The sequence below is a fragment of the Homo sapiens genome, chromosome 2, assembly GCF_000001405.40.
Source record: "Homo sapiens chromosome 2, GRCh38.p14 Primary Assembly".
Taxonomy (NCBI): Eukaryota; Metazoa; Chordata; class Mammalia; order Primates; family Hominidae; genus Homo; species Homo sapiens.
The window spans coordinates 106400023-106422208 of NC_000002.12; the positions used below are offsets into that span (position 1 = coordinate 106400023).

Sequence of the window (22186 nt, forward strand, 5' to 3'; positions counted from 1 at the left end):
TCCTTTAAAAAATGCAGTTTGATGCTATAAATTTATCAGTTAATGGTTTTTGGGGCAAAAAATGTTTTCTGACATTTCGATAAGAGCTATAGACGAAGTCCAGCATTAGTCATGACTCTGGACTAAGTCTGGAAATCTGGAATCTCTTCCCAGCTCTGGGAGGTACAAAGTTTTAAAAAATAAGGTCAAAATGCTGGAAAACATTCAATTTATTTCCTTATTAACACAATTGTTCACTCATAAACGACAGTAACACTTGGTGCTATGGGTCATGCACTGAGGTCAGAACAAGGAACAGAAGAAAATGAGGTAAATTGGTAAATCTTTTTGCAGGCTGAGAAGTGAGAGAATGCTGGCATGCCTACTCTGTGCTGGGTTTTTTGTTTTTGTTTTTGTTTTTTTTTTGAGATGGGGTCTTGCTCTATCGCCCAGGCTGGAGTGCAGTGGCGCAATCTCGGCTCACTGCAAGCTCCACCTCCTGGGTTCACGCCATTCTTCTGCTCTTCTGCCTCAGCCTCCCAAGTAGCTGGGACTACAGGCATCCGCCACCATGCCTGGCTGATTTTTTGTATTTTTAGTAGAGACGGGGCTTCACCGTGTTAGCCAGGATGCTCCCGATCTCCTGACCTTGTGATACGCCCACCTTGGCCTCCCAAAGTGCTGGGATTACAGGCGTGAGCCACTGCATCCAGCCCTCTGTGCTGGGTTTTATGTCGTCCAATAACTCACAACTATGTAATTTATTTCCTTTTTACAGATAAAGAAATGGGGGCTCAGAGCAGTCAAGAACATGCCCCAAGTTATTCGTCAGTGAGGCGGAAATTGTGGTGTCCTTGTGTAAGTTCACAGTTTATACTTTACCATTATACTGTGCTCCAAATTATCTGATATTTACTTTCAAAGCATGTGTAGAAAGTTTACTATGATGATGCAGAGACATTGTACAGAATCCAGTCCCTTGACTCTCAGGTCCCCAGAACACTCACTTCACGATTTTGTTGACCTCTTCTGTCAACTTAAACCTGGCACTCTCTTGGCTGGCTTTCTCTGCTCTTTCTGGGCACTCCAAAGCTTCTGTACTTACATGCTACAATTCCAGTCACAGGAAGATGCTGAGTTCTTTAGTCCCAGATCCATATTCCTGAGAAAACCTAATTGCCTAGGCTCAGGTCATAACTCTGTATCTGTTTCAGTTGATTATGGCTGGGCCTACTGCCCCTCTGTATGGTGGTGGGGCAAAAGTTCCCAGAGAGAGGCAGGGGTGACAGGTTGTCTCAAATGCTAGGCAGACATCTGGAGTGGTAACCACTACATCTGTTCACAGTGAGCACATCCTTGCAGGGAAACTGGGTTAATCATCTCTATTATTGAAACTCAGACGTATAGTGTTTCTTCATAGGAGTTTTCTTTCCTTATTTGAGATGGGGGTCTCACTTTGTTGCCCAGGCTGGAGTGCAGTGGTGTGTGATCTTGGCTCACTGCAGCCTCCCCTCCCGAGTTCAAGCGATTCTCCTACCTCAGCCTGCTGAGTAACTGGGACTACAGGCATGGGCCAACATGCCTGGCTAATTTTTGTATTTTTCGTAGAGACAAGTTTTCACCATATTGGCCAGGCTGGTCTTGGACTCCTGACCTCAGGTGATCTGCCCACCCTGGCCTCCCTAAGTGCCAGGATGACAGGTGTGAGCCATCACGCCCAGCCTATTTATAGGAATTTTCTGTAGGTATATAAGTAATAATTTGAAGTTCACAACTAGATGCCTTTTCGTGTAACCGTATCTTGAATGGAACAAACATTTTCTTTCTACGTAATTATACATAAATAACCCAATGCTTTTTAATACCCACGAAAAACCATTAGCTCAAAGACACTTGCAAACTTGTATCAGGTTGTTTTCCTTGGTCTGTATTAAGTTTGAAGCAAAGGGGATTTTCACATACCAAGACGAAGCAGAAGTCTTCCACCAAGTTGAAATCATCACGTTGAAATTTAATCATATGATACAACCAATTTTTTGATGTGTTATGCCATTCGCCAAATACCAACAATTTTTTAGGGGAAACTTTACATCCTCAATACTATACACTTCCAGCTACACCACCACCTAACAGGGACTTTAAAAAGAATACAAAGTACGGTATGCCTTCTCAGTGCCTTGTTAGTAATTCAGTTACAGTTCTGCCAAACTTTCTTTAAAGGAATACAATTCTCAATCTTACACTGTTCAGAGCACAAGCATAGCTTATTGTATACAAGAGATGTGCATCAGTTCCCACTCCTCAGGGACTGTATGAATTTGGCTTTATTTTTATTTATTTTTTTGACGGAGTCTCACTCTGTCACCAGGCTGGAGTGCAGTAGTGTGATCTCGGCTCACTGGACTCTGCCACCCGGGTTCAAGTGATTCTCCTGCCTCAGCCTCCCAAGTAGCTGGGACTACAGGTGCACACCACCATGCCCAGCTGATTTTTTGTGTGTTTTTAGTAGAGACGGGGTTTCACCACGTTGGCCAGGATGGTCTCGATCTCTTGACCTCATGATCTACCCGCTTTGGCCTCCCAAGGTGCTGGGATTACAGGCATGAGCCACTGTGCTGGGCCAAATTTGGTTCTTAGAAACCAAGGAGTGATGTGTGCACCAGGCCCAGGGCTGAAGAGCTGCTTCTCACTAGATGCCTCTCTTGGTCTGGCTGCTGTGTCCAGTCCTATCCAGGGTTAGCTCTGTTCCTCCTTCTTGTGGCATCTGTGTTTCTCTTTCTGCTCTGCCTCTCCCCATCTCCTAGTCCAAACATCCAAAGAAATTAATTACCTCCAGGAGATCGAGACCATCCTGGCTAACACGGTGAAACCCCGTCTCTACTAAAAATACAAAAAATTAGCTGGGCATGGTGGCGGGCGCCTGTAGTCCCAGCTACTTAGGAGGCTGAGGCAGGAGAATGGCATGAACCTGGGAGGCAGAGCTTGCAGTGAGCCGAGATTGCGCCATTGCACTCACGCCTGGGCGACAGAGCAAGACTCTGTCTCAAAAAAAAAAAAAAAAAAAAAAAATTAATGACCTCTGCCCCTAACTGAACAAAGCCCTTCATCTAAGGCCACCCTTTGGTTGGCAGCCTTAGCCAGACATCTGCTTCTGGTCAAATCAATGTCTTGTCCACAGGGAGGCCCAGCGCTGTTTCTGGTTTTAGCTGGATGCAGGGTGTCAGACATGGCAGGTACTACGGTCTACCTGGCGGGTATCAAAGAGTTGGTCGACGTTCTCTCAACAACCTAATAGGGACCAACCATGGAAGGCCAGTAGTAAAGGAGTTTGAAGTTCCCTTTCAGAAACCAATTAACAACCCCAAAGAGACAGTGTGTAACATAAAAGAGCTGCCATAAAAATATACAGTTAAACATATTTAATAGAAATATTAAAATAATCATTACACTTCCTCTCATTGCAGAAACCATGAAAGAATATGCCTTTTGTAATCAATTTTTTATCATGCAAAAAAGTATTTTGTTATGACATTTGTAAGTGGAGACTATATTTCAAAACAAGTTTATACAGACTTCAAAAGGTCTCAAGTCAAAGAGAAAGTGAAATATATTTAAATATGATTAGTTACATCGTATGCAGCTGGCATACTCATATTCACAGTTTATAAAGTAAAAAAACTAAACTCTTCATGTCGGCTCTGAAATAGATGCATTTTCATTCATACATTCGCTAGTTAGGTCTGTTCTTCTAAGGAGGAAAGACGAGATATATGAGATATTTTTTAAAGAACAAACTCAACATATCAGCAGCAAATTTCAGTTAAACTAAATTGGAAACCAATGTTCTGTGTAACCAAAGTGCAAAGTCAGTTCCCCAGCTCAGAAAGAAAATTAAGAGTATAAACTGAAGGCTTAAGAGAACTTCAGAGAGCATACTATGTGATTAATACATAAATATTAAAAATTATCCAATTTTTGATTTAAGAACAACACAGTTTGGATCTAGTCATTAAAACATATGCAGCGGTGTCAAAGGCAAGTAACACTACCACCTAAGGTTATTCAGAGGAACTGTGAAGATGTAGCACGGACCTCTAAGGTGTCTAAAATCCCTTCTGATGGAAAGCTTATGGAACACTATCTGCCAAAAACACTGAAAGCACCACTTTTATATTTAGATTCAATGCTGAGTGATATAGTCACTGTTGGGATAGGTTTTTATTTGGGAAAATGGAGAGGATTCTCAAAACAGATTCATGGCTTGCATGCAGTGACACCCTATCAAGAGCCTGGAAAGACACCATGAAATCACCTCAACTCAAGTGGTGGGCCCACCTATTCATAGTCAGTGTTACACTAGCCAGCTCTAGGGCTCTGACAACATAATGAGTTTTGAGATAGTATACTTTAAAGAAAAAAAGAAGAGTTTATTTTAAAGCAAATAACTAAACTGTATTTTAACTTAGCACAATTAACTGCAGCATATTTACTTCATAGCCCCTTAACATGTCACTTTTACCAACAAAGCTTTTTCCTTCATATTCTAATCACAAAAATTTCTCAACAATTTATAACAATCTGTAAATCTGACCTTGCAATAAATAGTCATAAAATGTTATTTTTATTACTATTATTATTTTTAGAGACAAGGTCTCGCTCTGTTCCCCGAGCTGGAGTGCAGTGATACAATCACAGCTCACTAGCCTCAAACGATTCTCCAGCCTCAGCCTCCCCAAGTAGTGGGATTTCAGGCATGAATCACCACACCTGGCCTTGAAACATTATTTTTAAAGCCTAAATTCCAGTTGGTATGGTACCAAAATTTAGTTTAACTTCAAAATTCACAGTACTGCCGAGAAATGGGCGGGTCCTGAGGTTCCAGAGAAGTGGGGAGTGAATTCATTCCTGGTGGTTTTATTCTGGCAGCATGCATGGGAGATCACATGAGTTAGAGGGCTGTGGCCTGGTATCAACACTTCAAGCTGTTGTACTTTTACTTCAAGTTGAAACTTTTAAAATACATCTGTCATATAGATGTACAAATATATGTAAATGCAAACATATACACACTTTTTGACAAAAGAATGATGGTAATACACATGAACCATTTTTGTAAATAGATTTTATTTGGTTAATAAAAACATTCCTTCCATCAACCTATCGAAGTCCAAACCAACTACGAAGATAGGATGCCCATCCAGAAGAACGGGAAGCATTTTATTCCTCACCTTTGGAAAGTAAAACAAAAAAAAAGAAAAAAGAGAGTATTAAAATTTCTCAATGTAAAATCTATATTTTAGAACCACTCTACAATATAAGCAAATAATGTCTTTTTTACTGATCACATGCCTTTTTTGTTGGGTGGGGGGGGTTCTTTTTTTTTTTTTTTTTTGAGACAGGGTCTTGCTCTGTCACCCAGGCTGGAGTGCAGTGGCGTGATGAGACTTCAGTGCAGCCTTGATCTCCCAGGCTCAAGTGATTCTCCCACCTCAGCCTCCCAAGCAACTGGGACCACAAGGTGTGTGCCACCATGCCTGGGTAATTTTTTGTTTTTTGGTAGAGATGCAGGTCTCACTGTTTTCCAGGCTGGTCTCAAATTCCTGGGCTCAAGTGATCCTCCCACTTCAGCCTCACAGTGTTGGGATTACAGTCACGAGCCACTGTACCCAACCATATGTCATTCTTTAGACACACTGCTTACTAAATTTCTCTTTTTAAAGGATATACTGAATTTCCGGTTGAGCCAACTTAACAGCTAATTTTCTATTTTAGCTTTAAAACATTGATAAGCAACATGAAGCAATCTAGAACTTAACCTTTAAATGGCTTTATTAAAGCAATCCAGCTATGAAAATTATGCAGAAATGATTATCTACAATCTTACCAGCACATAAGAAATTCTTCCTCTATTCTGAAATACCATCTTCTCACAATATACTTTGATGTTATGAATCAATGTCTGTTCTTGAACATTATTTATTGTCTTTCTCTATTAAACAATTCCAAAATAAAATTTCCAGCACAACTAAATATTGTTGACGATAAGAGGATTTTAAAAAAAATTCTTTTAAAACAGAAGCTTATATACAACTTAGAATCTAAAACCAATAGATTTATGGTAAACCTTAAAACTGAACCAAAACAAACAAAAACCAAAGTTTTAATCATTTAAAAATCATGTTTATTGAGGTACAACTTACTTATAGTAAAACCTGCCCTTTTCAGCGTATAGCACTGAGTCTTGACAAATGCACAGTTACGTACCACCACCAACCAAGGCCTGGCACATTTTCACCTCCTCAAAGTTCTCCCTGGCTGCTTCTCCCACTCCTTGGCAACCGCTAACCTGTTTTCTGTCCTTATAGTTCTGCTTTTTTCAGTGTCATATAAGTAGAATCACACTGTACATAGTATTTTGAGTCTGACCTCTGTCAACTGGCATAATGCATTTGAGAATTATCCATGTTGCTGTACTGGCAGTGCATTCTTTTTTATTGCTGAGCAGTATTCAATTGCATGGCTGTACCAGTTTGTTTATTCATTTGCCAGTTGAAGGATAACTGAGATCTTCCTCGTTTTTAGCAATTTTAAAGAAAGTTTCTACGAATAATTGTGTACAGGTTTTTAATTAAATGTTTTGGAGATATAATTCATATACCACATAATTCACCTTTTTAAAGTGCATAATTCACTGGTTTTTAATATATTCACAAGGTTTGTGCATAGGTTTTTGTGTGAATACTGGTTTTCATTCCTCTTGGATAAAGATTTAATTTGGTATTACCCTTCCAGACACCATTCTGTGTTTTCATACGTATATATGTATGACAGTTTGACCTTAGGCAGAGTAGCATTTTCAAACTTTTACATGGGGAAATTTTCTAGAGTTAAAGCCATTTTATTTTTCTGTTCTGTCTGGTTTTATCTGCGTGTTATTTACAATCTGCTGCGTAACAAATTACTACAAACTTAGTACCTTAACACATATTTATTTCACAGTTTCTGTGGGTCAGGAGATCAGAAATGGTTCTATTTCAAGGTCTCTCACAGGGCTGCAATCAAGATGTTGGCATGGCTGGGGTCTCATCTGAAGGCTGGACTGGAGAAGAATCTACTTCCAAACTTATGTGGTAGTTGGAAGAATTTAGTTCCTCAAGGCTGCTAAACTGATGGCCTGTGTTCCTTGCCTCTGGGATGGTAGCTTGCTTCAACAAAGTGTGCAAGCAGAGAAGACAGAGAGAGTCCGCTAGCAAGATAGAAGCCACAATCTCTTGTAATCTATCATTTTTGCTGTATTCTACTGGTTAAAAATAACTCATTAGGTTAGCCTACTGGCTCTCAAGGGGAAGAGATTATACAAAGGCATGAATTTCTGGAGGAGGCAATGAGGGCAAAGAACTCTGAAAAGTCTCTCTTCCACAATCTGAAGAACTTCTAGAAAGTAGAAGGAAGCGATATTGCTTAGGGATGGACAACTTGGCACTGGTTATGTGTTCCAAGTGAGGTAACCTTGTTCCCAGGAATAAAGAGAACCAGATGACTATAAACATTTCCCTAAACTGAAATGCACTGTTGTATGTTCACCTGCAATGAATGGTGTAAGCTGAATATAAGATTTTTGACAAAATAAAAATTTTGCTGTGTTCTCAGATCTGGCAGGCTCCTGCCCTTGTGCAAACAATGTTCCTGGCAACTATTCATCTCCTTAGGTAAATAAGAATTGGAGAAAAGCTGTGCTTAGATAGGGTGCATTTGCTCTTGCCTTGGAAGGCTGTTTTCTGATAAGGTTCTATATCCTCTGCAAATCAAATCAGGCACTTACAGTGTGAGTATGCATTCTCTTCCTGCCAGTCTGGAGATGATCAAAAAGCCTATAACAGGCTTGGCCTATTTTCCTATTGGGTTGCTGGGCTTTTTTTCTTTATTTACTTGTAGAGAGTTTTAGACCTCTGTGTATGTATGGTGTACAAGTGACAATATTCAGATCTGTAAACTGTAACCCAGTCTGGGAGCAAAGAAGATATAGAAAAATGACTTTTACTTCCGGCTTGAGTAGTAAAATTGAGATTCAAATTTTGCATATAGAAGTACTATATGGCTAACTTATTTGGGGAGCAAAGCTGACTTACCATAAGTCTATCTCAAATAGAAATGAAACACTCAATTTGTGAAATATGCTGAGTTTTAATGCGTGTGGGGGCAGGGTGAATTAACATTTGTGATGCAAGGAGAAGAGCAATCTATACTTACCACTGTCTATTTGACATTGTTTGGGGACTACTGCTACACTCTAAGTCATTTTACCTTATAACGCAGAGTTGTAACACGCTACTCTGAGCAGCTCATGACATCTGCTTGAAATTTAAGTTGGGCCCCTAGTATGTGTTTATTATAAAGATTTTGATGCTGCTTTTCAGAGTTGGGTAACCTACTTTACCCCCTAAGCTAATGTTTCCCAAATACACCCAAACCCACAGAAAGGAAAACTATTCCTCATTAACTCACAGCCAACATCATAAACATTTTATATCTAGAGCTGATGATACAGTCAGGTATTTACCAACACTCATGTATATATGTAGAGTGTCAAGAAATAATTGCTTATCCTTAGTAGATTCAACATTAGCCTTACTAGATTCAACATATTCTAATGTTTCACATATTATTTTTATTTCTTAATTTTTTTTTAAAGATGGGGTTTTACTCTGTTGCCCAGGCTGAAATGCAGTGGCGTGACCAGGATTTCGACCAGAAGTTTGACTGCAGCCTCGAACCCCTTATAACAAAGAATCCTGCTGCCTTAGCCTCCCGAGTAGCTAGGACTATGGGCACATGCCACCAGAACGGGCATATTTTAAAATTTTTGTAGACATAGGGTCTCGCCATGTTGCCCAGGCTGATTCTGAACTCCTGTTCTCAAGCAATCCTCCTGCCTGGTCTTCTCAAACTGTTGGGCTTACAGGTGTGAGTCACTGAGCCCAGCTTGTATTCTTTTGATTTTAAAAAAATATTCTGAATGTGATCCACCAAATTAATTTCACCATCCACTAATAGGTAGCAACCTGAATGAAAAATACTATTATAAACTTTACACAAAACCAGAGATTATAAACATTTGCTTCCAAGGACATGAGAGAGGTAAAAGGTACTTGTTTGCTCTGATGGGCCCTGTTTCCTTCAGTGCCAGGAAGAGTGGCTCTCAGACCTTTCTTCTAGCATCCCTCATGTATGCAGTGTTGGTTATTATTTTCAAGGCCTTGGTAACAAAATGCCCCTAGTGTGACCAGTCAGACTGACAGTCCATATCTGTAATATGGTGGTAAGTTTCCTTTGCATGTCTTTCTTTCTGGCATCTTAGACCTTTTACCTAGGAAATTTTCTTTTTGCTTGAAGTACATCATTAAGAATTTTCAGTGAAGGCAGATTCTTAAAGTTTTTGTTTTCCAGAAGAGATCTTGGAAAATATAAAAGGTTGGCAGTTATTTCTTTTAGTACATGAGACAGTATTACACCAATGCTGTTGAGAAGTCTATTGTGAGGCAATGTGTCTTCTTTCTCTGGCTGCTTTTGAGATTTCTCTCTGTCTTTTTTAGGGGCAGTTTTACTCTTATGTGACTAGAAGTAGATTTCTTCTTTTTTTTTAATACTGCTTGAGATTTTATTGGGTTTTTGAATCTGTGGATAGATATCCTTCAACAGTTCTGAAAGATTTCCAGCCATTCTCTTCATATATTATCTGTGCTGTATTCTTGTCTCTCCTTTTAGAACTTCGATTAGTAAAAACATGTTTGATGTCTTTTCCCACTCTTGTTTTTTGTTTCTCCCATGCTGAATTCTGTGTAATTTCTTTTGAACTATCTTGTAGTTTACTTTTTTTTTTTTTTTTTTTTGAGATAAGAGTTTTGATCTTGTTGCTCAGGCTGGAGTGCAATGGCACCATCTCGGCTCACTGCAACCTCTGCCTCCTGGGTTCAAGCAGTTCTCCTACCTCAGCCTCCCAAGTAGCTGGGATTACAGGCATGCACCACCACGCCCAGCTAATTTTTGTATTCTGAGTAGAGAGGGGGTTTCACCATGTTGGCCAGGCTGGTCTTGAACTCCTGACCTCAGGTGATCTACCCTCCTCAGCCTCCCAAAGTGCTGGATTACAGGTGTGAGCCACCGTGCCAGGCCTTACATTCTCTCTCTTAAAGAGAAAATGTAAGGTATCTAAATCTGCTGCTAAACCATCATGGTTTTTAATTATAATAAGGTCTCTTTTATGTACTCACATTGATAAGAGACAAGTAGTAAATAATCTTTAAAGGGCAAACTAATTTAAATGTGTTTTCCTGTCTGTTTACAGGACTTACCAAATGCACATCTTAGAGTTCTGGGTTTCTAATGTGTATCTCCTCTATGAAATTCTTTAAAAATATCTGTTCTTGGTATCCCTTAGGTTAGTCTCTTTTAGAACTTCTAAATCAATGGACCCTTAACTTATAGGAGCCACCTGGACGTTAGCAACATCTACATTAAACATGCTGAGCTTTTAAAAGAGGGCTGTTAGACATGCTGAGTATTTTGAGATAATATCATTGTTGTATTGAAAACTATTGAAAACTTTAATTTTAAAATGCAAACGTTCTTAAAGTCCTGGTTAATTTTATAACTATAAAATTAGTTATAATTTTGAGATTTCTGTCTTGCTTTTTATAGGGGCAGTTTTACTCTTAGGTGACTAGAAGTAGATTTCTTCTTTTTTATAACTATAAAATTAGGTTTACTTTTGTTAGAATAAATTAAAGACAGTGAATTTGTAATCTGAATAACTACTAAAAATATACATGATGTATTCTTATTTGGGCCCTTGTGACAAAAATACTATTGTGGCTATAGAAACCTATCCTATAGTTTGAAGAACTGAGATTACTGTCAGTATTGAGAACATTCCTCCTTCATCATTAGAAAGATTATAAAAAACCAGATTCAAAGAAACTATCAATACTACTTATGAAGTATGTCTGTAAAAAAAATTAAGCCTGAATCTTATCAGGCCTCTAGACCAGGGGTTTTCAAGGTATGGGCCCCAGACCAGAAGTATCAGCAACAAAATGCTAAAACTGCAGAATCTTGGGTCAGAAATTGGGGACCAGCAATTGGAATTTTAGTAAGTATACCAGATGATTCAGATGCCTGCTCAATTTTGAGGATGACTCTTATCAGTTTAGTTATTAGGGTTTACAGGGGATGGGGAACATGTTAAAGAACACCAACTAGATAAGGTCAATCAGTCAAAAGTAAGATGTCTGGACATTCTGGGCCTCCTGATGTCTTAGAAAGCACACAATACCATCTATGATGTATTTTTGTCCACCATCCCACCTAATTGCACCTGGATCTTCCTATTTATAGGCAATTGGAACAAGCTCAGTGTTACCCTGTAATGATTAAAACCCAAATATAGAACTGCTATAGCATAAATGACCACTTTCTTCAATTAATAAGTGGCACATTAAAAATATATTTATATATATAATTGTTATAGATAAAAAAACAACAAAATGGCCGGGCGTGGTGGCTCACACCTGTAATCCCAGCACTTTGGGAGGCCAAGGTGGGCAGATCAGAAGATCAGGAGATTGAGACCATCCTGGCCAACATGGTGAAACCTCGTCTCTACTAAAAATAGAAAAATTAGCTGGCGTGCATCTGTAGTCTCAGCTACTTGGGAGGCTGAGGCAGGAGAATCGCTTGAATCTGGGAGGAGGAGGTTGCAGTGAGCCATGATCGGACCACTGCACTCCAGCCAGGGTGACAGAGCAACACTACGTCTCAAACAAACAAAAACACAACAACAAAATAAAGCTTAAGGAACATCAACCAAATGCAATATATGAGCTCTATTTAGGATACTATAAAAAGACATTCACAATAACACAGGCAAAATGAACATAAACTAGGTATAGGTGACAGAGAAATCCAATAAACATTGAATTATTCACTGGGGAAAGAAATGATGTGTGGGATTTAAGTCTCTAACTCTCCCCTATTTACGCCAAAAGATTGTCCATGAGTTGAAAACTGTTAGAGATGGGTGACAACTCAAGAGAGATTATAGCGTCTTCCTTGTGCTTGTAAATGTCAAAAATAAAAGTAATTTAAAACTAAAACAAAAACGAAACCATAATTCTTAAGATGCAGCTTGAATTCAGTTAACTATAGCAGTTGTATATGAAGCATTTCAAAGAAGTTAATGACATCACAGTATTAAATCCATCTGACATGGAAACCAACTCTAACTACATCATAGTTTTTTTTTTTTTTTTTTTTTTTTTTTTTTTTTTTTTTGAGATGGAGTCTCGCTCTGCCGTCAGGCTGGAGTACAGTGGTGTGACAGATCACTGCAACCTCCGCCTCGTGAGTTCAAGTGACTCTCCTGCCTCAGCCTCCTGAGTAGCTGGGACTACAGGCGCATGCCACCACGTCCAGCTAATTTTTGTATTTTTAGTAGAGACGAGATTTCACCATGTTGGCCAGGATGGTCTCGGTATCTTGATCTTGTGATCCGCCTGCCTCGGCCTCCCAAAGTGGTGGGATTATAGGTGTGAACCACCGGCGCCTGGCCTATGGCACAGTTTTAAAACTGCATTTGCCTAGAAAGTGGACTGCTGTATATAGACCAAGTGTTGGGCTCTATGGCTCCATTGTCTTAAGCTATTTGGGGTTGGAGGAAGGAAGAGGGGTGAAGTAGAAAAGGAACAAGCTAATAAATGTTTTTTAAAAAGTAGAATTTAAAACAAAACCACGTTCAGCTGAACACCAGAACGCAACACCAGGATAAAAATCCAATTTTCAAAGAGCTAGAAGATCAAGCTAAGCACTTATTGTATTTTGCTGAACGTTAAAATTATATAAATGTACTACATTTGCCTCAAGATGTTAAAAAGTCAGCTTTTCAAATCTAGTCACGGCCTACTCATATGACAGACCCAATTCAAATGAGCAAAATTGAAAAGTTACACATACAGACAACTTCTCAACCACCAGGCTGTTTAGTTTAAGTTAGAAGTCAGAAGTTCTGAGACTCTCCTTTTACCCACCTTGAGCAACCGCAGCAAGTTTTCCCTTTTCTTCAAGGCTGAGCTGCAACATCGTATTTATAACAGGAAGAAGTCTCTCTCTTTCACTACCTGGCTTCAAGAAAATGAACTGCAGCAAGACGTTCTTCAAGTGTTCCACGTTAGCTGCAGACACCTCTTGCTCTTGATTCCTTTCCAATCTTCTTATTTCACTTTTGAGAAGCTGGTGTTAGAGAAATGAGTTAAAAATGGGCTTTAGGAGCTTCTGATTAAATATGGCAGACTGAACTCATGTATTTTTCTTCTCTTCCCCCCAAATTTCCCCCTTCCCTCCATATGGCAATAAAGGAAGGAATTCAGTTAACTACAGCAGCTGCATGTGAAGCATTTCAAAGGAGTTTATGACATCATCGTATAAAATCCATTTGACATGAAAACCGGAACTCCAACTATGAGATAGTTTCAAAGCTGCATTTGCCTAGAAAGTGGATTGCTGCATATGAACCAAGTGTTGGGCTATATGACTCCACTGTCCTAAGCTATTTGGGGTTGGAAGGAAGAGGGGTGAAGTAGAAAGGCAACAAGCTAATACAAGAGGAGAAAAAGTAGATGAGACACATCAAGAAATTCTCACGAGAAACAGATGAAGAGGTGGAAATGAGTCAGTCCAGCAGCTTACCAAGTATCACTGACAAGAGGAGAGGATGCATCCTGTGTAAATACTGGGGTTCTTGTCTCAGAAGCACAGGGTATCATGGAAATGGAGTTGAAAGCTGGGGAACTGATGGAACGTCTCCATGAGGAGCAACTAACTGGAGCCATGGGTTGGTACCAAGATGTTCCCTCTGCCTTCTACTTTTGATAGAAACTAAGCCAGTATGGCATGGGGCTCTGAAAATGGGCTGAGGGGAACATCGGCAGCCTCCACTAACCCCCTGCCCCTACGCTGTTCCTGAAGTCCCAGGCAGTTAAGACGTCCACAGTGAACGGCACTTAATCAAAAGTTCAGACACAGTGAAAATTCAGGAATATAAGACAATGTAAAACACTATCAGAGAAATGAGGCAAAGAATGATATAAAAAAGGTAATATCATGTTCAAGTCTTTGAGGAAGATTTCCAGGTTGAAACCAAGCCATAGCTTTTAGTATATTTTCATTTTAGGTTAGGCAAGAAAGTTAGCGAACTTTGTCCTCAAACCTAGGACCATTTAAAAAAGTGACAATAAAGAAGATGAAGAAATCATGAAGAGAGTATAAATTTATGAAAATATAACATTTGGCCAGGAGTGGTGGCTCATGCCTGTAATCCCAACACTTTGGGAGGCTGAGGCAGGCAGATCACGAGGTCAGGAGATTTAGACCATCCTGGCCAACATGGTGAAACCATGCCTCTAGTAAAATAAAAAAAATTAGCCGGGCATGGTGGTGCGTGCCTGCAGTCTCAGCTACTCAGGAGGCTGAGGCAGGGGAATCGCTTGAACCTGGGAGGCGGAGATTGCAGTGAGCTGAGATTGCACCACTGCACTCCAAACCTAGTGACAGAGCGAGACTATCTCAAAAAAAAAAAAGAAAATATAACATTTAAATAAGTCATTTAGGTTTACTGGGCTAGTTAGTGATTTGTTAGCTATGATAATGTTTTTATTAGTGGGAAAATGTTATTTTATAGAGATGCATACTGAAGTATTTAATGGTGGAATGTCATGATATATACAATTTACTGAAAATAACTGAATTCGGCTTTAAAATAATCTGACAAGGATAGCTAGTGGCCTTGCACAGTGGCAGGACAGATCTATTAGGAGCAGCAAAGTACAGGGGAAAAGCATGTACTTTTCAGACAGCTATGAGTCTGAATTTTGTTCCACCATTTACCAGCTTCAATTTTTCTCTTAACCAGTGATGAGATTAAATAATATACGTAGAGCCCAGGGCCTGGGTCATAAGAACTCGTCAACAAGCAGTATGACTATATTCTGAGGGGTGATTTATCAGTGAGCCAGGGTGGAAATACCTCATTTGAGTAATCCTCAACTGTTCTGCAACATTCCTAGATGTTTCTGGTGTCTACTTTAAACAGGAAAAACTTCCCATGCCACTTTGCCATCTCCACCTGAAAACTGTTTAGTAGTTCAGTACTATAAATATCAGTTGAATAATTTAAATTCACTGGTTATCTTTAGAATTCAAAGACTCACACCCATTTTTTATTTAAGCATATGTGAACAATGATTTGTGAACATCTCTCTAGTTTCTAAATCTATTACGGTTTCTTAGGAAAAGTAGGAATTAAGAAATAATCTTTATGTAATAGGTATAAAAGAAGTATTTTGGCTGGATGCGGTGGCTCACGTCTGTAATACCAGCACTTTGGGAGGCCAAGGCAGGTGGATCATGAGGTCAGGAGATCGAGACCATCCTGGATAACATGGTAAACCCTGTCTCTACTAAAAATACAAAGAAATTAGCCAGGCATGTTGGCGGGCACCTGTAGTCCCAGCTACTTGGGAGGCTGAGGCAGGAGAATGGCGTGAACCTGGGAGGTGGAGCTTGTAGTGAGCCGGGATCGTGCCACTGCACTCCAGCCTGCGTGACAAAGCAAGACTGTCTCAAAAAAAAAAAAAAAAAAAAAAAGGCAATATTTCTCACCATCAGGAATCTAATATAAAGATCAAGACGTTATAGATGCATCTGCAATGTGAATTTTTAAACTTGGGTACATGTGTATGGAGGGTCCAGAAAACCAAACTGGCAGTTTTTATGGTGGCCAGGTTTTCTGATCTCACCTTAATTTGCTCCATAAGGACTGCATTGGTTGCCTCTATTTCCCGAAGCAGGCCGTTTAAGTGATCTGCACTTTTTGTGGTGGAACTGAGCTTCTGAACCAATTCTTCTTTAGTAAATTCAGCATACCATAATGGAGGCTCTGCAACATGTTGTTCCAAGAATTAATTTTCAAAATCATACATTACAGATGAAGATTCTAAATAAGAAAAATCTAAATATAAATATCTTACTATGTGATATTTTATAGCTCTGCTTTCTTTGCCATTCATCTATTCGGCATACCTCAATCAACAGATTATATGTTGTAGGTGACACAAATAAAACAGTATCTCTGTTGTAAAGCATGTCATCTAACTGAATACAAGCCCTATGAGTCCCAGTTCTGAAATTTGTCAGAATTGTGTTTATAGACAGTTTTATTACACATCTTCTTCCCATCTATTAATATTCCAAGATTTTATGTCATTTCACGTATAAGGAAAGCATTAACATTTACTGGTCACGTATCATGTTCCCTCATAAGAATCTTCTATCAGGCGGGGTAGGTATCATTATTCAAACTTTACAGACGATGAAACAGGCTCACAGTTGACAGGTAATTTTTGCAGAAATCACAAAGTCAAATTGGCTTCTGGAGTCTGCTGCTCTATCATGATGCCTCCATGTCACCACTATTAACTTTGCCTGAAGGAACCATGACTTGCAGTTTCTACCCCACGTGGTCAGTGACCATGAATACAAATGACCCTTACTCCAGGTGATTCTGAAGTTTCAGGAAGATGACAGATTTCCCCCTAAATTTTGAACAGTAATATTAATTACAGGTAATAAAATATACCAAAACATCACTACAAAAATTTAGCATTACTTCATCAAGAGGAATAAACTGAAACTGTCAGTTTCTTGGAAGGGTGAGAGGATAGTTTATCCTGCTTTCTAATACCCACCACCTATTTGTGACTATAAACTTCCCACCACTTATTTATGGTTCAAGCCTAGGGCAAGAGCTAGCATTTTATTTTAAAAAAGATTTGTTTAATAATTTTTCCATTTGGACAGTGTGATGGTTAATACTGGGTGTCAACTTGATTGGATTAAAGGATGCAAAGTATTAATCCTGAGTGTTGTCTGTGAGGGTGTTGCCAAAGGAGATTAACATTTGAGTCAGTGGGCTGGGGAAGGCAGACCCACCCTTAACCTGGTAGGTGCCATCTAATCAGCTGCCAGTGAATATAAAGCAGGCAGAAAAACCTGAAAAGGCGAGACTGGCCTAGCCTCCCAACCTACATCTTTCTCCTGTGCTGGATGCTTCCTGCCCTTGAACATCAGACTCCTAGTTCTTCAGTTTTGGAACTTGGACTGGCTCTCGTTGCTCCTCAGTCTGCAGATGGCCTAGTGATCGTGTAAGGTAATACTTAATAAGCATCCATCCATCCATCTCATCCATCCATCCAACCATCCAATTAGCTCTGTCCCTCTAGAGAACCCTAATGCAAACAGGTAGTGGAATATTGAAAGAAATTTTATTGGAGCAGCCCAAAAAAGCATATGTACCTTAGAGTAATAGTAATTAAATAAGACAGTGAAATTAAAGAAGAAGAACATATTTAGACAGAGTAACAGACCAAGTTTAGTTTCGGGAGAATTAAGCAGCTGCTCTAAAGACTGTGTGTATGTGCTGGCGGAAGACACAGACTCCGTATCAGTTGTCTCCATGCCTTCTCCCTCTTCCCGGGTTACAGTGTGCATGTCTAGAAGCGGGAGGTCTGTGTTTCTCCTTTCTCGAAGGTTCTTCAAAGATTGTTGAGAGGAAACTGGGCCTATTAGATTTTTTTTAAAGGTTAAGTATGAGATTGTTCAAAATCTATTGATTCGGCCTTACAGAGGTACACAAAATGAAAATATCAAATGATAAGAGTAGAGGAATTAAGTAACTATAAGATAAGTGAAAGGTGTATGAAGAATTGCTAAAACATTTCTTAAAATTTAGTCATCAAGGCCGGGCGTGGTGGCTCAAATCTGTAATCCTAGCAGTTTGGGAGGCTAAGGTGGGTGGATCACGAGGTCAGCAAGTTCAAGACCAGCCTGGCCAAGATGGTGAAACCCTATCTCTACTAAAAATGCAAAAATTAGCCAGGCACAGTGGCAGGTGCCTGTAATCCCAGCTGCTGGGGAGGCTGAGGCAGAGAACTGCTGGAAGCCAGGAGGCGGAGGTTGTAGTGAGCCAAGATCACGCCACTGCACTTCAGCCTGGTGACAGAGCAAGACTCCAGCTCAAAACAAAAAAACAAACAAAAAAAAACTTAGTCATCAAACTTTTAACTACGTTAGTCATTTTAATAGCAGCTATAAATTAATTGCTACTAGCTAAGACAAACTGTTAGATAACACAGCTCATAATATAGTACTACTTATTTTTTATTAATTTAGAGTAGAGGGCCAAACTACTGCTAAATACTGGCCAAAATTAAAAGACTAGATTCTAGCAATTTTTCAGGATTAGGTATTTCAGATTGCTGCATACTTCTTGAAACACACTTGCTGAAATCTGCTTGGTAGACATCCTCAATCACTGCCCTTATACCTTTACCTCTGCAGCTTCGTAATTGTTGCTGCTCACACCTACAGTGCTCATACAGTTAAGAGCCCAGAATCCAGGGCACGGAACTAATCAATTACATTGCCTAGCAAGACTTTGCTGTTTGCTGATAAACTGTAAAGTGTTATTTTTTCTGAGACAGGGTCTCACTCTGTCACACAGGTTGGAGTGCAGTGGCACGATCTTGGCTCACAGCAACCTCTGCCTCCCAGGCTCAAGCCATCCTCCCACCTCAGCCCCACAAGTAGCTGGGACTTCCAGGTGCATGCCATCCCGCCCAGATAATTTTTGTACTTTTAATAGAGATGGGATTTCACCATGTTGTTCAGACTGGTCTCAAACTCCTGGCCTCATGTGATCCACCCGCCTTGGCCTCCCAAAGTGCTGAGATTGCAGGGGTGAGACACCACGCCTGGTCTAAACTGTAAAGTTTACCAGGCCCTTTGACATGTATTGGTTTATTGACTCCCAAAAATCTGAAGTTCAGAGAAATTTAATGACTTTGCCCAAGGTCTCATAACTGAGTTAGAAACCAGAATTGTAATCTAGATTTTTAAACTTCAGATTTCATTTATTTTGCATTTCATTAAATTGCCTTAGTCCTGACTGACCTTTCTGAAGCATTTTCCTGGGTTTCTGGTAAGCTGACTGCTTATTCCACTGCTGATTGCTAGATTACAATCTCTTGTGCGACCTTTGCCCTGGCTGATTACTTCCTTTGTTGATTCTTTGGCATATATTAAATTCTTCTGAAGTTGCTTTTTTACCCTAATAAGTGACCGATAGCTGCTAATGCTCCAGTGACAATATTTCCCATGGGAAACCAAAACACCATCAACTTGCTACTAAAATACTGCATCATCATGGCTGACATTTTTCCATTTCTTCCTGGAAGCAGAATGGAAGATACTGGGTACGGCTGAACTAAAACTCCAACTAATTGTAAATGTGAAAGCAAAGAAGCTATATTGGTTATGCAGTTCTACACATTCAGTGCCGCTTGAGTGTTTCTAAGTTCCTTGCTCTAGCTAATGTTTCTATTTAAAAAGTAGACAAATTTGATGACTAACAACGGAGAACACGAAACAAATCTGGTGAATACCAGAATTAGGACATGTGTCAGCCAGGCGCAGTGGCTCATGCCTGTAATCCCAGCACTTTGGGAGGCCGAGGCGGGTGGATCACGAGGTCAGGAGACCGAGACTATCTGAGGGAGAATCTTCAGGTTTTTTCTTCTCTTTTGCTGTAACACCAGTCAAAAAAATTGACAAAGATAAGGTATTAAGTATTGACGTTAATACTCTACCTGAAAATAAAAACCATGGAACCTATCTATAGGTTAAAACAGCATACTGATAAAAAACACATATACTTTGATGCAGAGATGTACGATAATCATGAATTAGAATTAGCATCCTGATTTAGTGTTCTACCAAAAACCCTAAGTGAACACAGAATCTATTTAAAACCAAAGAAAACAAAAAAATCTTGTGTTTACTTAATAGTCATTGAAAAGAATTACTACAAATTTCTAGAATTTAAAAAGGTTAAAAATTTTAAAGTGTTGCCTAACTATACTTAGCATACAATAGTTTACCAAAATATCCATGCATTTGCAGCAACTGAAAAAAATCTTAAAACATAAGCAAGTATTAGTATACATATGAAACTAATCCAAAGCCAACTGTGATTAGTTCCTGTAAGGAAAGTTAACAATTGCCAAGAATGGAAGGTGACTAGAGTTGCATCTAGTTTGCCTGTGTTCAAGAATGATACTAGATAAAATTAAATAAAAACTGTTACTCTATGGGTAGCTAACACTATAAAATCTAAGACCATTCATATGGCTGAAAACAACCCATCCCCAGCCACCATTAATGCAAAGGGCAAAAAATTAGAAACAGAAAAAACTTCTATATGCAACCTGTTCTGATCTACTAATGTAAAGAAGAACTTCTGGCTAAAGGAGTTTAATAAAGTAAGCCAGTCATGAAGCATGCCATGTATAGCAACTGGTGACAGGGAAACATTCTGAGAGCTATGGTGTCCAATATGGTAGCCTAGCCACATTCTATTAAAACCTCACAAGGTGGCTAGTCCAAATCAAGACATGCTAACAGTAAGTGTAAACACACACACTGGATTTTGAAGACTTGGTGAAAAACAATAATGTAAAATATCATTAATTTTTATATTAATTAGAAGTTAAAATGATATTCTGGACATAATGAGTTAAATCAAATCTATCGATAAAGTTACTTTCATCTGTTTCCCTTTTTAACTGTTTCTTTTTATTCTTTTTAATATGGCTACTAGAAAATTTATTTATTTATGTATTTATTTGAGATGCGGTCTTCCTTTGTCACCCAGAGCTGGAGTGCAGTGATGTGATCATAGTTCACTGAAGCCTGGAACTTGTGGGCTCAAGTGATCCCTCTGCCTCAGCCTCCCAAGTAACTGGGATTATAGGCACAAGCCATTGCACCAAATGACAATTTTAAATTACATACACAGGTTATATTTTATTTCTATTGGATGTCACTGCTCTGCAGAACCAGTGCCCTTCCTTTTACAATGTTAAATTTGTCCCTCTCCTTCATTATAAACAAAAACTTAGTATCATTTCCTAGCTAGGAGAAATAACAGTACACCGTAAGATACAGATTCTTGTTCCACTTCTGGTATTACTCAGTAAAGACACCTTGGGTAAATCAGATAGCCTCTCTTGGCCTCAGTTTACTCATGTCTAAAGTCTTCATTTCTAAGGTCCCTTGGGACAATGACATTATCAGATTCAAAACAGAATAAGGCTCTATGTTCTACAGTAGTGTATAGGCACATTCGTTCTTAGGTCAGGGATTCCTAACCTAGAGCTCACAGAAACTGTACGCAAGTATACATCCACTTTTAAGTTAACACTTTTCACATTTCTCAAAGACCGTATCTTTAAAATAAAAGATTAAGAGCTACCTTAGCTGGTAATAAAACTGGTATAATTAAAAAAAAATCAGAGATTTTTACTTTATCATTGTACTTGTTTGGCATGGCTAAGATGTGTTACTGGTCACTAAGGGTGAGATTTCACTTCCCTAACCTGTTCTTGAAGGCCTTCAACAGATCCCACTTCTTGTTCCACTCTAGTAGCCACACTTCTAAAAATGATCTGTGCAACATATATAATATGCAAGCTGTAGAATGCTGGCTGTTAAAAACGGGGGTCCATTTTCAAATACAACATTTTTCTAAACCATGCACAAAAGAACAGCCCTACAGGGACACTCTTCCATACTGTATACATGCCGTTGCCACTACATGTGAATACTGGCAGACGTTAGTGGCTAAAGATAAACATTAGATAAAACATAGGTCTTCATTGAGCAGACCTGAAATAGCAGAGCAATGAAGTACATTACAAATCAGCATCCCACTACATTTTAAAAAACAAACCAACAAGGGTGTCATGCCACCAGTCAAAAGGTACTTTGCTTAAACTGGCATTCTTTGACATGCATGTTGTAGTGGTAAGTACTTCATTTCATACAGCCACAGTTATTAATACTTTGCTAAGGGCTACCCAGCTGCTAAAAACTGCTGTTATCTCATACTGAGAATGCTAGTTCTATACCTTTGCTCTCAGGCTGTGAGGAAGGGGTGCTAGTCCAAAAGGCTATGGGATTAGATTTAAAAAGGCTAAAATTAAATCCTAGAAAATAAAGAATATTTCATTTTTTAACATTTTAGGAAACAAAATGAATATGC

At 39.2% G+C, this 22186-nt stretch overlaps 1 protein-coding gene across 4 annotated transcripts in view; it reads right to left on the reverse strand.

Annotated features, from left to right (window-relative positions):
* Positions 3384-22186, reverse strand: part of RGPD3 (RANBP2 like and GRIP domain containing 3) — a 67530-nt gene continuing 48727 nt past the window's right edge. For 2 of the 4 annotated variants that reach the window (XM_017004738.2, NM_001144013.2), the window contains 3 exons: positions 15828-15967; positions 13062-13263; positions 3384-5207 (listed from right to left, as the gene is read on the reverse strand). In XM_017004738.2, the coding sequence (XP_016860227.1) occupies positions 5197-5207; positions 13062-13263; positions 15828-15967 (353 nt within the window). In that variant the 3' untranslated portion in view covers positions 3384-5196. Of the gene's footprint in view, positions 5208-13061; positions 13264-15827; positions 15968-18809; positions 19671-21111; positions 22131-22186 lie in introns of those variants that run through there. The other 2 variants (XM_017004739.3, XM_047445567.1) reach the window with 2 other exon arrangements.